Below are 15,572 nucleotides of genomic sequence, written 5' to 3'. Positions count from 1 at the left end.
CGCCACCCATGATATCCAACTGGTTACCCGTCCAGGCAAGCTTGCCTCCTAAATCCACTGCCCCCTCTCTATCCTTATTGTCACCACCATCTGGACTCTGGCAAGCTTTCTTTTTCTCTTCACAAACAGTGAGGCCTCCGTCTGAGCCATCTTCCTCATGCTGCAAGAGCACTCCTCTGCCGTTAAAGCCTTCGAGCCTCCTCCTCACCTGCAGTTAAGTCCAACAGTTTGCATGGGCCATCAAGCCCCCATCACCTGGCTCTTCTCATCCCCTCAAAACCAGCACCCCTTCCTCTGGTCCTAAAGAATGTGACCACATGTATACTCATGCCTTTGCACATGAGTACACTTCAACCTGAAGTATCTCTTATGGCATCCTCTTCTTGAGAGACGCAATGCAAATATGTCAACCTATGTGAAACTTGCCATTAATCCTTTCTCTACAGCAAAATGAATCAGTTCTTCCACCCTGACACCCTGGCCCTTTATAAGACCTTTCACTATTTGAAACAACTGTTTACAGTTTCATCTTCCCTATTAATCATAGTGCCTATCTGTTGGTATAGATGTTTGGCAAATGACTGCACACACACACACACACACACACACACACACACACACACACGAGCTAGACCAGTGGAAGGAGAGACCAGAGGGAGGACAGCAGGAAGGAGGTGACTGTAAGAGTCCATGAAAAAGGCAACAGGGCCTGGGTTAGGTTGACAAGGATGATGATGATGACAATAATAACAATAGTATCCAGCACTATTAACAAGACCCAACACTTCGCCCTTACTAAGGTGCTCTCCTAAGGGCTTTACATATTTTGGCTCATTTAATCTTCACAACAACCCTATGAGGTAGGTACTGTCATTATCGTTATTTCCATTTTATAAATGAAGAAACTAAGGCACAGGAAGTCTGAACAAATGACTTTGAGAATAGAAAGAAAGCTAAATGTGATACATTGCAAATTACAATCTCCAAGACTGGATTCCTGCTCAGATGGGCATGGCAAGGGGAAGAAGATGTCAGAGATGGTTCCATGTGACAGCAAGGCCAGCAATGCCATCAACCCGGCCAAGGGAAAAGAAAAGGAGCAGCATTCACCTGGGCTATGTTTCGTTTTCTTCAGGGGGACAGGGTCGTGTGGTGGGAGAGAGAATGAGTTCTATTTGGGGCTTGTTTGAGGTATTGGCAAGACATCCTGGCACATATAATTGTCACTGCCCGCCCTACTCTTCCCTAGAACCCTCTGAGGTCACTTCCATTTTACAAGCTGGGGAACTGAGGTTTGGAAAGACTAAATAACCTCAGACTAAGATTCAGACTTAACCTTTTTTTTTTTTTTTTTTTTTTGAGATGGAGTCTCCTTCTGTCACCCAGGCTGGAGTGCGGTGGCGCGATCTCGGCTCACTGCAAGCTCCGCCTCCCACGTTCACACCATTCTCCTGCCTCAGCCTCCTGAGTAGCTGGGACTACAGGTGCCCGCCACCACGCCTGGCTAATTTTTTGTATTTTTAGTAGAGATGGGGTTTTACCGTGTTAGCCAGGCTGGTCTCGATCTCCTGACCTCATGATCCACCTGCCTCAACCTCCCAAAGTGCTGGGATTACAGGCATGGGCCACTGCGCCCGGCCCAGACTTAATCTTAAAGTGGAGAAGCCAAGATTTGAAGTCAGGTCTGTCCAACTCAAATTTTGCTCTGCCCAAGAGGCCGGTTGTTCCCAAAGCTGACTAATCATCGGCATCCCTGCGAGGAAATTTTTTGATGCGCATCCCCAGACCATGCCCCAGAACTACTAAATGTGAATCAGATCCGCAGGGGAGCTGGGGTCTGCACAGTTGGAGTTCTCTCGGGTTGTAATGATGTGCAGGCCTCAGCGGTCGCTGCACCGGTCCACAGGCCTCTCCAATGCGGGAAATATGGGGCCAGGCCTTTGGAAAGGCTTAGCACTGGAGATGTCAGTCTTAGCAACAATTTACTTGGAAAGGTAACTTAAATCTGTGGACACAGATGAGCTCCCCAAAGGGAGAGTGCAGAAGAAGAAAATCAGAGGGCTCAGGACAAAAGCCTAGTAAACGTTCGTGTAGACACAGGAGGAGAGGCTGGAAGAAGCAAGGGGAGAATGTGCTTTGTAAAGGGGGCATCTGCAAAGATGCTGCAGCTTCAAGATGCTGTAGAGAGCAAGGACCGGGAGGCCGGGTCACAGCACTCGCGATGGGTTTCTCCATGGGGCAGAATCGTGTTCTGATTTATTAGCTGATATGAGGTCGTATTTATTCATCTGTTTTAAGGGTTTTCTGATGCCACCCCCCACCTTCAGCTGGCAGCATTCACTGCCCCAGGGGAAGTGCGACATTGTGGAATGCAGAGAATGAGAAGTCATCTGCAGCTTTTTTGAGGTATCATTACCATACCATAAAGTTCACCCCCTGTAAGTACACAATTCGATGATGTTTGGTAAAGTTACACAGTTGTGCAAGCAGCCCCACCACCTCCTTTAGAATTCTTCCATCACTCTGTGATGTGATAAAAACCTGCCATCCCTCCCACCTCATCTGTACACAGCAACCTCACTCCAGCTCCAGAAGAAGTCCAGGGTGACCTCTTGTCCTCTCCTACGAGCCCCTCTGCCTCCAGGAGGTCCAGAGTTGAGGGGTCTCAGCCAGCCCAGGGCTTCCCTCTAGCTCAGCAAGCCAAGTGGCTCCCTTAATCCTCCTGGAAACCGAGGGGTGAAGGGGCTACATGTGGCCATCTCAGGACCTAAGAAAAACCAAACTCCTCTACACACCTTCACCACTGCATGGGCCTTGAGCAGCCCCAAGTGTCATCAGCTTAAGAACAAGATACGGATTCTATGTGGAACGAAGGCTCCTCTTTAAAAGTTGCAGATTAAATGTGAAACTGTAGGAGGGTTGGGAGGACCATGGCAGAGGAAGGAGGTGGCTACACAGGGAAGAAATGGAACCAAGGGAAGGAGTTCCTGCTTCAGGGAGACACTTTGGCTTGTATTTATTTTGACACAGTAAAGATTTCTTGCCCCTTAAGAGATGAGGTCACGCTTCGGATGGCCTCACGGACGGCGGCCGATGCTCTGCCTTCCGACTCTGGCCATGCCATCACTCAGTGGTGTGCCCAGCTTTGAAATTTTTGGAGCCTGTCCCCAACAAAGGGCCCCAAGCCGAGCCACAAGACACCACAGCCCGCAGGCGGTGAACACCTTACCTGCTATGCATCAGCGGTTACCTGAAAAAACTGGGGCGACAGCTGAGAAGTTAAAACGTGCATCATATTTTTTTTTGCTGAAAGGGCCCAAGAAAATGTCAAAGGTTACAAAATACAAGAACCACCCTGTGATGGCATCAGCCCAGCAGCTGTGGAAAGGAGAATCCTATAAGCTGCCTGCTTCTTTTAAAAACCATCTCATTGGACGGTTCCATCTCAGTAATTAAAGGAAGGTACTGACGGCAGGGGAAAGACGGTGGCTCTGATGACCAAACACGCCATGTGGAAATCACGTGGAGAGTGACGGTGTCTCTGCAATGGAGGGGGAGAAAGAGACGGGATTTTCCCTGCATGCCTTTTGCAGAGGCATCCTGGAGTGCCCCAATTTTGCCAACTGCATTCCAGAGCTCTTTTCCTCACATGCCCAGATGGAGCAAAAGTCTTTGTAATGACTTCAAGCTCAGCCAAAAGTAAACACACTCTCCACTTTTTCCATGGACCAATTCTAACCCCAAATTGCCAGAGCTGGCCCCTCAACAATCCAAATGGAAAGCCGCCTTTCCCAATAAAATAAGGCCCTTCTAACTCAATAATACATGTTGGCTGCAAAAGCAAATGTTCCTAAAAGCTTCCTAGAAATTATTTATCGTGCAGCAACACTCCAGATCACCTGAGCAAACCCCACCAATGGAACAAAGACATTCAAAGGAAATACAACACAATCCAAGAACAGATGTTCGCTGCAGCGAACACCTGCACTCACAACTTTTGCAGCACATTTTGTAGCAGTCACGGGATTTGCTACTAAACACACACACACACACACACACACACACACACACACACACAGAGCTCACCACCACCTAACTGGAATATTCTTTTGGAAAACAGGCCGGAATGAGACAGGTGCTGATTTGAATAAAGAGTAAAACAGCACTCGGGATGTGAGCTCTGCAGGGCTCCTGCACATGCCAAACACACGTCTCACTTCTCTCCCACATTCCATGCATCTATGTGATCTGAACGCAGTTCTCCATCGAGTGAAAAAGCAGAGACTTGAGGATGGTGGACTTACCAGGTTGGAATTGGTGGCGTTGGAATCATCTTCTGGAAAGGGAATATAGATCGCTAAGGCCACACAATTGGCAAAAATAGTCAGTAAAATAATTATTTCAAATGGTCTGAGAAAGGGAGTCAAGGAAGTTAATGCCACAGAAAGTACAAGTGAAACAAACATAATCTACATATTTTTTAAAATGAATCAAAGATTCATAAGAATTTTGTTTAAACAATGCATTCCAAGCCCCTTGTATTCTGAAAAGAAACATATGCCTTTTTAAGTGCTTCTAGTGGGTCCCCGCCAAAATTTTCCCTAATATGTCAAAAGCAGTGGAGGCCAGTCGCGTGCCAGAGTAAACACAGATTTCTAAAAACTTGTTCCCCTCCTTTCATTTATTTAGATTGCATTGGTCTTCATTCTCCCCAATGTGTGCCTGAGGTTGCCTCTAAAGAGCATGGCCTGCGCCAAGCACCCCGTTTCTTCACAGTTTATGCCGAACGGCCTGTGGGCCCACGCCCACCTGGAACGGGGGACATGGGTGGAACAGGATTCCAAGACAGAGAGACTTTCTCTGGGTTTCATTGAAATTTGGAGATTTTATTTTTAATCTTTTAAACTAAGGTTAAGAGTGGTTTCCATTTCTTCTCTCTCATTCTCTGGCAGGTTCCAGAGATCCTGAAGACCCCCAAGAGTACGGCAGGGGGTCCGTCCTGAGTGTAGGGAAGGAAAGCTGTCTCCTCTTTAAGGCTGAGTCTCACAGACAGCATAGAAACCCCTCTGGTCTGCAGAGGTCCCGCTTCAGCAGGCAAAGCTTTGATTCCAAGGCCTCCTGATTTTTCCTTGGTGTGTGCTGGGCTCTAGTGGGACAGCCCAAGGTTCCCTCACCAGTAGTAGTGCAGGCAGAGGTTCCCATGCCCTGACTTCTTCATCACATTTTCAGGGCAGGACACGCTCTCAAGAGAAAAATGAGCTAATGTGATAATACCCCTTCCGACGGGACCACCCCACACCCTCCATGGAAGGCCAGCAAGGGGAAGCTTCCCAGGAAGGGCCCGTCTATGCTCTTCCAGCTCCACTCCCACCTACCCCGCTCCCACTGCCAAGTTTGCAGCCCAGTTCATGGAGTCTCACAGGAGGAGGAGGAGGAAGACAGAGAGGGGTGGAGATCCGGGGTGAAGGGACCACCATAATTCTCTCAGGGAAATCCATACTCACAAAGTTAGTGAATATTGAGGCAGAAAGAGACCTTAGAGATGATCTAGTCTAACCCTCTGAGGCCCAGAGAGCCTGAGGAACTTTCCCAAGGCCCCACAGCAAGTTAATGACCAGCTGAGACTAGAGCCCGGATTTCCCGATCACCAAGTCCAGTGTTCACTCCCCTGCCACAGACGGCCTTCTGACGTGTTAAGGGGCAGCCCTGGGCCAGCGTCACAGAATTCTGAACTGGGAGGAACCCGAGTGATTATCTTAGCACTAGTCTCCCTAGTCCTGTGGGTACTTCTGAGGATCCATTTTCCTGTAGAACATTTTCTATGTCCACCTTGATATCAAAAAAGATGCCACACAGTGGACCTGTCAATCTCCCAACTTTGCAGGGGTGAAAAGTAAAGCAGCCAGTCCAAGACCCCAAGCTGGCATATAGCAGAGCCTGGACCGGAACCCAGACGGACTAAGCTTTTACATTCTGCTGCCCTTGTGTTGGATGAGGCACAAGTAGTGATGATGGGAGACAGACGCTGATGCTGGTGCTGGTGACAGTAAGGACAGAAGCTGACCTCTGCCAAGAGCTTGCTCAGTGCCAGGCACATTCTTACGGCCCAACAGAAATGCTCTGTGTGGAATGTACGCTTGTGATCCCCACTTTCTAAATGAGAAAACTGAGGCACAGAAGGGTCAGACGTTAACTTGTGCCAGGTCACAGAGCAAGTAGTAGGATGGGATCCAAGCTCAGGCAGTCTCAGTGTTAAGGACTATTCTATACTGATCCACTCTAAAGTTACCTTGAAGCCTTCATAGGCAGTTCTTTTAGCCCTCCTACCACGCCACCTCTTGCCTCCCAAACCTTTTCTCGCCTGCTTAGGAAAGTGACACCGAGCCCACAGGCTGGCCAGTTTCATTCCATCAGCTGGTGCCTGTGCTCTCCCCATCGGGACAAGGATGCAACAACCCAGCCAAACCAGACCCGTGCACACACACCCAGAACATGTCACTTCATTGCCTCCACCACAGTGGGGCACAGCTGAGCTTGGGGTTTCTGGCACTATCAGTTCCCCTCCCCTCATTCAGACTCTCCACCTATCCATCCTTCACTTCATGCTAAAGGCACTGGGCTAATGCCAGAGAAGATCATGTGTAAAAACCAATCAGGCAGAGAAGAAAAGCCACTGGCTGAAAAGCAGAGAACCCAGGTAAGCCCTGGGAAGTGCTCTGTGTCGCCTTTTGAGGCCCAGATTACTTTTTAAGCTGAGTTCCCTTCCTAATGACAGGGTCGGATTCCACTTCTTCAAGAAGAACTGGCTGGCTAGTACTCCAGGCTATCTCCTTCCCTGTCCAGCCAGTCTTCCCAAGCAATCTTGGAATGCCACCCACCTGGCACTGCTAAGGCTGGGCCCCCTTCCTCTCCTCCAGGTGGGAAGGCACACTCCCCCGGAGGGGTGGCCACAGCACCCAGGGAGTAGGTGTTAGGCCCGGATCCAGGTCCGGCGTGTCCCAGTGCACCTGGACTGCAGGCCCTGAGCATCCTCCTAAGACCTCACCGGTCCCACCTAGTATCTACTAGTACCTGCCTAGTCCTACCCAGTACTATGGATGCATGGGGTGTGGGATGGGCATGGACTTCGGGGTCAGGGGAACCTGGATTTGAAGTCCAGCTCTGTCAGTTGCCAGCTGCGTGATTTAGGGCAAGCCCTTTGTCTTCTCTGGGCCTTGCTGCCCTTCTCTCAGGGGTGCCTGACCTGCAGGGCCCTCAGCTCTCCCACTCCCTGACTCCACCGTGAGCAGATATGCAAGCAGTCCTATGGGGCTGACTAAAGCCTAGTCTCCCATCCAGTACCCCGGGCACTAAAACCATGCTTGGCCACTCAGGCAGCTGCAGCCACTTGTTTTAAAATGCATTTTCTTAAAATACTTTTAAGTTGAGGGGCTCAAACATTTATATTTATTTATTTATTTATTTGAGACAGAGTTTCACTCTTTTCCTCAGGCTGGAGTGCAGTGGCATGATCTCAGCTCACTGCAACCTCTTCGTCCCGAGTTCAAGCAATTCTCTTGCCTCAGCCTCCCGAGCAGCTGGAATTACTGGCATGTGCCCCAACGCCTGGCTAATTTTTGTATTATTAGCAGAGATAAGGTTTCACCTCATGTTGGCCAGGCTGGTCTCGAACTCCTGACCTCAGGTGATCCACCTGCCTTGGCTTCCCAAAGTGCTGGGATTACAGGCGTGAGCCACCGCACCTGGCCTCAAACATTTATAGAACATTTCTGTCTCAATAGAAACTTTCTTTATCTCTAGGCTACCTTCTTTCAACCAGTACCTGAGACTTTTAAATCTTTCCATAGAAACTCATCGATGAAGCCTAATGCTCCCATCCTGGCCCTTGAGAGACACAGCAGTCCTGCCTGGAGGAATCCTTATTATAAAAATTCCCACAGTCAGTACCAGGGTTCTAGTCCCATCTGTTCCTGACCACATGACCCTGGGGAGCCTCTCCTGTGGGGCTCAATTTCATCACTCGTGGAAGTGGGGGAGGAACTTCAGCACTTAAAGGTCCTTTCTGGGCTGGGCACGGTGGCAGATTACACCTGTAATCCCAACACTTTGGGAGGCCGAGGCAGGCAGATCACGAGGTTAGGAGATCGAGACCATCCTGGCTAACACGGTGAAACCCCGTTTCTACTAAAAATACAAAAAAGAATAGCCGAGCGTGGTGGCGGGCACCTGTGGTCCCGGCTATACAGGAGGCTGAGGCAGGACAATGGTGCGAACCCAGGAGCTTGCAGTGAGCCGAGACGGCACCACTGCACTCCAGCCTGGGTGACAGAGCGAGACTCCGTCTCAAAAAAAAAAAAAAAAAAGTCCTTCCCAATTTCTACAGCCCCAGGATTCTGATGAAGTAAGGGGCTTGTAACTCCACAGCGAGCGCCCATCCCTTCAAAGCCACTGTTTCTGAAGGACCCATTTGCTTGTTTCTATATGGACAAACAGAACACTTCCAGACAGTGTTCTCAACTTTGTCTGCACATTAGAATTACCCAGAGAGTTTTCCGTTGTTGTTTTTTGTTTGTTTGTTTTTATGCCTAGGTGGAACTGAGTGGTCTGTAGTTTGTTATAACTTTCCAGGAGACTCTAATGTGCAATCAGGGCTGAGAACCACTGCTTCAGGGCCCTCCAGCCAACAGCCAGGGGCCCTGACCACTACGCTCTTCCATCTCCTGAGCCCCTTCACCCTAGAGAGAGGGAAGGCCGTGAAAGCATCCAGCGCCATGGCACAGAAGGGAAAGAAGGGAATGAGGCAGCATGTAACTAACGACTGTTACCCCAACACATGAGTGGGCCCCTGGGCAAGCTCAGCTACAGGAGATGATATTTCATAACTTCTTAGGCTGATTTTCTCAAATGTTGCTTATTATATGAAAAAAACAAAAAACAAAAACCCAACCCAGGCAGCTTATTATACAAGCAGATTGCTGGGCCCCGTCCCCAGATATTCTGATTCATCCAGTCTAGGGCGGGGCCCAGAACTCTGCATTTCACAGCACCCCAGTGATGCAGATGCAGTAGGCCCGAGGCCCCGTTTGTAGCCCAGCACAGCTGACACAGCTCGTGGCCCAGGGAGCCTCGGAGGGCTGGACCCAGCGTGCAGGTCCCAGGAGCATGCCCAGCCCGGTGAACAAAGGATATTTCCATTCGACAATGCTGATGCAGGCCCTCCGGATGGGGTTCTTCAGGGTCAGGCAGAGCAGGGCTCGGGGCGGGCGTGTGGCCGTGGTGCTGCCCTGCTTCTTGGGTTTCCCATATTGCTGCCGCTTCCGCTGCGTGGAGCTGACTGTGGAGATGGTCGCATTGCCAGCGCTGCCCATCAGCTTAGCCTGCCGGGCTGCGTCGATGGCCGCCTGCCACGACAGGGCAGCCCCCGGGGTGGGGATGTGCTCAGGGGCCAGCCCCGCTGCCGCATTGGCATTCATGTTGGCATGGGCGGGGCGTGGGCTCCCATAGTTGGAACCTGTGGCAAAAGAGAAAAGAACACAACAGTTACTAGATAGAAAACAGGGGCACTTCCGACACTCTCTGGACCCCAGATTCACAATTTTTTCAAAACCTTATTTCAAGCTATTGCAGGCGGTTAGGAGGTGGCACGTGGAAACATGAGTGTGAGATGCTGAGGGAAGAGGGCCAGGATCGTTGCGGTCCTGGTTTAGCTGGGTGACCTTGGGCGTGTCACTCCGCTCTAGTCTCCTTGCCTCACCTTAGGTGGGCAAGAGATGAGATCCGTGCATTACAGCACGTATGGACCTCAGCAGAAACAGATACAACACAACACATTACCTAGAAATTAAAATACATATTTTAAGAACCCATGCAAATGAAAGGATATTCATGAAATCGAATAGAATGATTGTTTAAGGAAGGTGAGGAGGAAAATGAGCATAAGATACAGGGGCAAGGAGGAAGCATAAATGAATGAGTGAGTGAATATGAGAGGTCACTGCATGAATCAATGATGGAAAACGTACAATGAACTGGAGTATGATTCACTCAACTCTCTGCACCTGAGTTCCAATAAACAAAAATAAATATAATAAAATGAGAAGGGCTGGACTAGAGTAAGGTCACATCCAGCTACCTCAAAGCCATCTGGGCTTTAAGTGTTGGTTGACCAGGAGGGGCCAGGGGAGCTGTGATGGTTTTAAATCATGTCAACAAATCCCTTTATATCTGACATCCCTTTTCATTGAGAAAGATCTAGGCCCTCCTCTTGAAATGAGGTCAGCCTTTGGTGACTGTTTTACCAATAAAGTACAGCAAAAGTGACACTGTGTGACTTCCAAGGATAGGTTAAAAAAAAAGCCACGTTGCATCCCCCTGACTGTCTCTGGATGGTCGTCCTGGAGGAAGCCAGCCCCCACACAAGGCAGCCTTTCAGCCCTGAGCTGCCATGCTGTGAGGAAGCCCAGACTAGCCTCAACAGAGAGGCCATGTGGCAAGAGGGAGCCCTGGCCAGCCCCCAGCTGCTCCAATCACCATCTGACTGCCACCCCAGGAGAGACCCCAAGTCAGGACTGCCCCAAATCAGTAACTTTTTGAATTACTGACCCACACAAGAACTTCCTGAATTCCTGAGCCACAGAGACTGAGCAGTAACAGGGTGTCTGCTGTTGTGAGCCACTTTGTTTTGGGGTGATTCATTAGACAGCATTTGCTATCTGGGAAAAGGAGCTGTGAGTGGCAGGGGTTGATGGGGTAGGGGAGAGGGACAGTGTCAGGAAGGAAACCTGATTGGAACCAGTGCAACCCAGGGCTCCAACCTGCGCAGGGACAGCTGCCCTGCTCTGGTGTCTAGGCAACGAAGCCTCTGAGACTGTCCCTAAGACAGCACATATGCTTGGCAAACACTCTTTGGCCTGTTAGGCTGGATGCCTCGCTCTAGAGTCTGTAAGGTTTGCCAAGCGATCAGCTCAGCCTGGCCCAAACCTGAATCTCCCAGAACACATGCATGACCTTGAGACGTGGTACCGCTAGTCAATTGGCCAGGTGCCGCAGGATCAAGAAAAGCCGCAGATAAGAGGGTGCTACTGTGGGCGGTGAGGTTGGCATCTGAGGACACTTCAGCTGCCCAGAGACTGTGGCCGAAGCAGCCAGACCAGTTGCACATACATGACACCCAAGGCCGCCCACAGTGGCCTTTTCTGGTCCATGTGCACAGGGTCTTCCAGGGAAGCTGCTGGGTCCTAAGGTTGCTGGCTCAACCTTATTGACCCCCTCCCTCTCCTCACCTGTTAAGACACAGATGAACACTTGGCGCCTCTCCCAGCCACCTCCCCAACTCTTATCTTGGGCTGATCCTTCTATGTTTGACCTCCAAGATAACTTTGCTCCCCATGTGACCTGCTTTCCAGAACCTATCACCCCCACCTCCACCCCGTCCCCACAGGAACCTGTGAAGAGCACATGACCTGGCTTAGCCATGTGAACATTTTCACCTAGAGAGAGCCTGCCCCAGAGGCAGAGCCCGAGCAACCTCACCAGATTCCTCATCCAGCCACACCTGAAGTTAGCCCTTACCTGAGCCACACGCAGGTGAGGCAGGTGAGACAGGTGTGGCCTCTTGGGGCTGACCTCCATTAGGGCTGTACTGCAAGGCTGGCTGAGCCTCCCCTTCTCCAAGTGATTTTCCCCCACACACTGTGATGTTTAAGTGACTTAAGTGACTTAGCTAAAGCTAATGTGAATTGGGTCTCTGTCCCTTGCAACCGAAAAACGAGCTAATATGCTTGGTAGGTGCCCAAAGCTTGGACCTGGTGGGGCTGTCATTTCTGCTGGACTCCAGTCTATATCCTTTCCATCACACCAGTGACAGACAATAAGTTTCAACTTTTATGCCAATTGATTGACATCACTGTCCACAATGCTATATACTTAAGGGACTCTGAGGATGATAGATTAGTGTTGCCCACCATGGGCACAAAGGGCAGGGAATGGCATCACTCATGCCACATAGCTACCACCCCTGCATGATCCCAAGAAGACCCCTCAGGTCCTCTTGGAGACCAGCTGGTCAGCTGCCTCCTGTCCCGCAACAGTTGCCACCTGCTCTACCGCCATCTGGCCCCTGTAGCATTACAGCCCCGCCTCCACTCCTCAAGGCCTGGAAAATTGCCTCTCTGCCACACCCAGTTCATAGCCACATTCTCAATGTGACACCGACTCTCACCTCACCATATATATTCCCTTCACCTTCCTCCTGTTCTCTGCCCCAGGGATAAACTGCATTAAACAGAACATCAGGCTCACGGAGGACGTGACACTCCCTACAATGAGACGTCTCATCTCTCCTGTAACTCGTCCCTGTCCTCCCTGCACTCACTGTGTAGATCCCAAGCCTAACGTGAGGAAGACCCCAATAAGGCCGGGACCTTAACCTTTCTCATAAGATCCAGCAGGAAAAGATGTAAAGAGTGCATTGGAATTAATGAAGGCACCCAAAGCATGAGAACTGCTTGAACACCCAGCAAGCATGCGTGTCTCCATTTAACACATAAGAAGACAAAGGAGTGTCTGACTCACTAAAGGTCACAGAATGGGGCGACGGAGGGTTGCTGCAGCAGGCACAGGGCTCACGGTGAGCTGCTAGACTCTACCCCTGCCTCCTCAGCCCTCTCTCACACACTCCACATGCACGCACACATGTGCTCGTGTACATGGTGACAGACAAGGTGCACGCCTCCTCCTGGGCTTCTCCAGGCCTCGAGATACAAGGGGCTGGATTTCTGACCCCAAGAACATTCTTTCTGTTTACTATGATCTCCACGTGACAGCATCCACTACACCACCTGCCCCCGCAGTAACCTCGGGGCGCCTCTTAGGCAAAAGTGGAAAGCGCCCTGTTTCCATCTGCTGTACTGGAGCCACTGAGCAACTCCTGCTTCTCTGGCTTGCCAGGGAAGGCTGGAACTCTAATTTTGCTCCATTCAATCTGTGGTATATAATTTTTTCTTCCTAGACTCTCTGTTTGGCACTGACAAAATTTAATAGACTATTTTAGTTCCCAGACTAACTTCTCCTTTTCCCTCAGATACATAAAAGCTGCCCTGTCCCCAACTGTTGGCATTCCCAGCCCCCAATTCACTCATGGTAAGCCCTCCACAGCTCACGCCTCCCCTGAGACGGCTGTCCCCAGACCTTAATCTTTGTACTCACCCCCCTGCATTGCCCTTAATCCCCCCATCTCATACGGGCTGCCAGTTCCAAAAACCAAGAGTCCCAGGAGTTTGGGGACAACACTTGGAAAGAGGGCAGGAAGCCCCAGCCTGAGAACACATCCACCACCCAGAAAAGCTGCGTGAGGGGAGCATCCCTGCACCCGGAGCACGAGGTAGAAGCTACCAAGACGGCAGCTGGCTGTGCAGAGCCCTGGGGCAGCTCTGAAAACCACATCCTGGTGGGCTGCCTTCTGAGCCCTCCCAAAACTCCATGAGGGACCTTATTTATATTGTAAACCATTCCCAGAGCGCAAGGACCTTTCTGGAGCACACCATCTGGAGAAAGCACATATGAACCAGCCCATGGGGAAAAATGGAATGTCAACCTCTCCCTAGCCAGAGGCCAAGAAAACAACCTACACTATTTTGGTCCTGGCAGCTCTGCGCATTGCTGCGGTCCCATGACATGACTAGGGCCCTGCACAGGAGTGCAGAGCCGCACACAGGTGAGACAGACAGGTATGGCCTCTCGGGTGAGACAGGTGTGGCCTCTCGGGTGAGACAGGTGTGGCCTCTCGGGTGAGACAGGTATGGCCTCTCGGGACTGACCACCTCCGGGCCTGGGCCTCCCCTTCTCCAAGTAATTTTCCCACCCACTGCGGTAGATCCCCACCCTGACCTCAGACATATAGACCAGTCTGTAGCAACACTGTCTAATACAATGCTTACAGTAATGGAAACGTTCTATAATCCTAGGCTGTCCAATACCCTGGCTACCAGTCATATGTGGCTCCTGAGCACTTGAAATGTTCTACCAGTATCTCCGGGTCACCCACAACAGGGTGGCACAACTACCGAAGACTCCCAGGAGTGGAAAATCCCCATCTCTGGCTCAATGTTTTGAATCCAGAGTGGTGCCATGAAGGTAGGGCAGGCAGCATTGTGTCCCTGACGGCTTTTGTTAGCACGAAATCACCACCCAATGCAAAGAGATCAATTTTCAAATTATAAAGCTGATTCAAAGCTCAGCCTCCTGGCTGCCAGCTGAAAGGATGCCACCATTTAAGTCTGCTCTGGCTCTGTCTGACTGGGCTGTTTCCACGGATGCTCCCACCCCTGAACAAGGCCCTGAGCAGCTGCCTCGCAGATCAGGCCACACACCAACAGGTAGGTGCCCCCAGCAGTGACCTCATCCCCAGTCATAAGAAAATGCCTCCCACCTGTCAAATGGCCCAGCTCCCCTGAAGACAGCATCTGCGTCCTCCTCCTGCACCCAGGTGCTGCTGCTGGGGACCAGGATGAGGGCAGGACCCCAGCACGGTCTGGCCAGCCTCGTGTCATTCTGCTCTGCAAGGGTCCAAGTGAGGAGTCCAAGTTAGGAGTCAGTGGCATGTGCCTCCTGGGTGTCCCCTGTGAGTGAGGGGCTTGGTGCTGGGGACTTGGAAGGTGTTCAGTGATGAAACAATTTTTTTTTCTTTAATCCATCTCTATTTCTGCACCTGATTCAGGGCCATATCCCAGAAAATGCTCAACACAGTTTGCTAAGGACTGTAACGATAATGCTGTCATGATACAGGTGAAGGTGGACTACAGTGACACTGTAGAAGGAACACTGCTGGAGTCAGTCCAGCCACCCCTAAAGAATGGGCTTATTCTCAAGCCATATGCTCTTCTACTGATTTCTTGGATGTAACCATGGGGGAGAAGTTCTAAGGAAAGGGGTTGTGAGGAAGATCTCCATCCTAGTCCAGGCCACTACCTATCTCTTGCCCACAAGTGCTGCAGTAGCCACCCTGACCTTTTCCTCAGTCCACTCTTGGCCATCCCCAAGCCAATCTCCATGCAGCAGCCAAAGTCACCTTTTAAAAACAGAACTCGTAAATTGGGCCCTGTCATTCCCCTAGTTAGATCCCTTCAAAATCCAAACTCCTTGTCAACAGCTTACAACACCTGCACAGACTGGCCCTGGCCCACTTCTCTGAGTTCACCTCACTCCCCTCTGGGCCCGGTCCAATGCACTCCTGACACAGTGGCTCATTTCATGCCTCAGACATGCTCAGCTCTTGCCTGCCGCAGTGCCTTTGCATGTACTTAGAATGTCCTTCATGTTCTTCCCTCTGCCCTTTGCTAGGCAATCCCTTCTCACGTTTCAGGTTTGGGCTCAGGTGATCCCTTCTTCAAGCCCCCACTCCAAACAAGCAGAACTCAAACACTAGCTGCCAGTGTTCTCCCCACTTCCCTGCCTCCATGCCACCGTTGAATAAACATGCCCAACGCCCCTGGCATTGGAAAGGGACCCCCCAATCAGCCGTGAGTAGGAAAAGGTCTGGGGCTGCCAGCCTGCTTCAGCAGCAGTCACCCTGC

General features: G+C 50.8%; 1 protein-coding gene across 55 annotated transcripts in view; it reads right to left on the bottom strand.

The window, feature by feature from the left end:
• The window catches only part of CACNA1C (calcium voltage-gated channel subunit alpha1 C), a 727,171-nt gene that overhangs the window by 573,216 nt on the left and 138,383 nt on the right, over positions 1 to 15,572 (bottom strand). For all 55 annotated transcript variants that reach the window (XM_017019926.3, XM_017019934.3, XM_017019946.3 and 52 more), the window contains 2 exons: positions 9,190 to 9,511; positions 4,305 to 4,410 (listed from right to left, as the gene is read on the bottom strand). In XM_017019926.3, the coding sequence (XP_016875415.1) occupies positions 4,305 to 4,410; positions 9,190 to 9,511 (428 nt within the window). The remainder of the gene's footprint in view (positions 1 to 4,304; positions 4,411 to 9,189; positions 9,512 to 15,572) is intronic.

This window comes from Homo sapiens, chromosome 12 (assembly GCF_000001405.40).
Source record: "Homo sapiens chromosome 12, GRCh38.p14 Primary Assembly".
Taxonomy (NCBI): Eukaryota; Metazoa; Chordata; class Mammalia; order Primates; family Hominidae; genus Homo; species Homo sapiens.
This window is presented reverse-complemented; position numbering and strand designations above follow the sequence as displayed.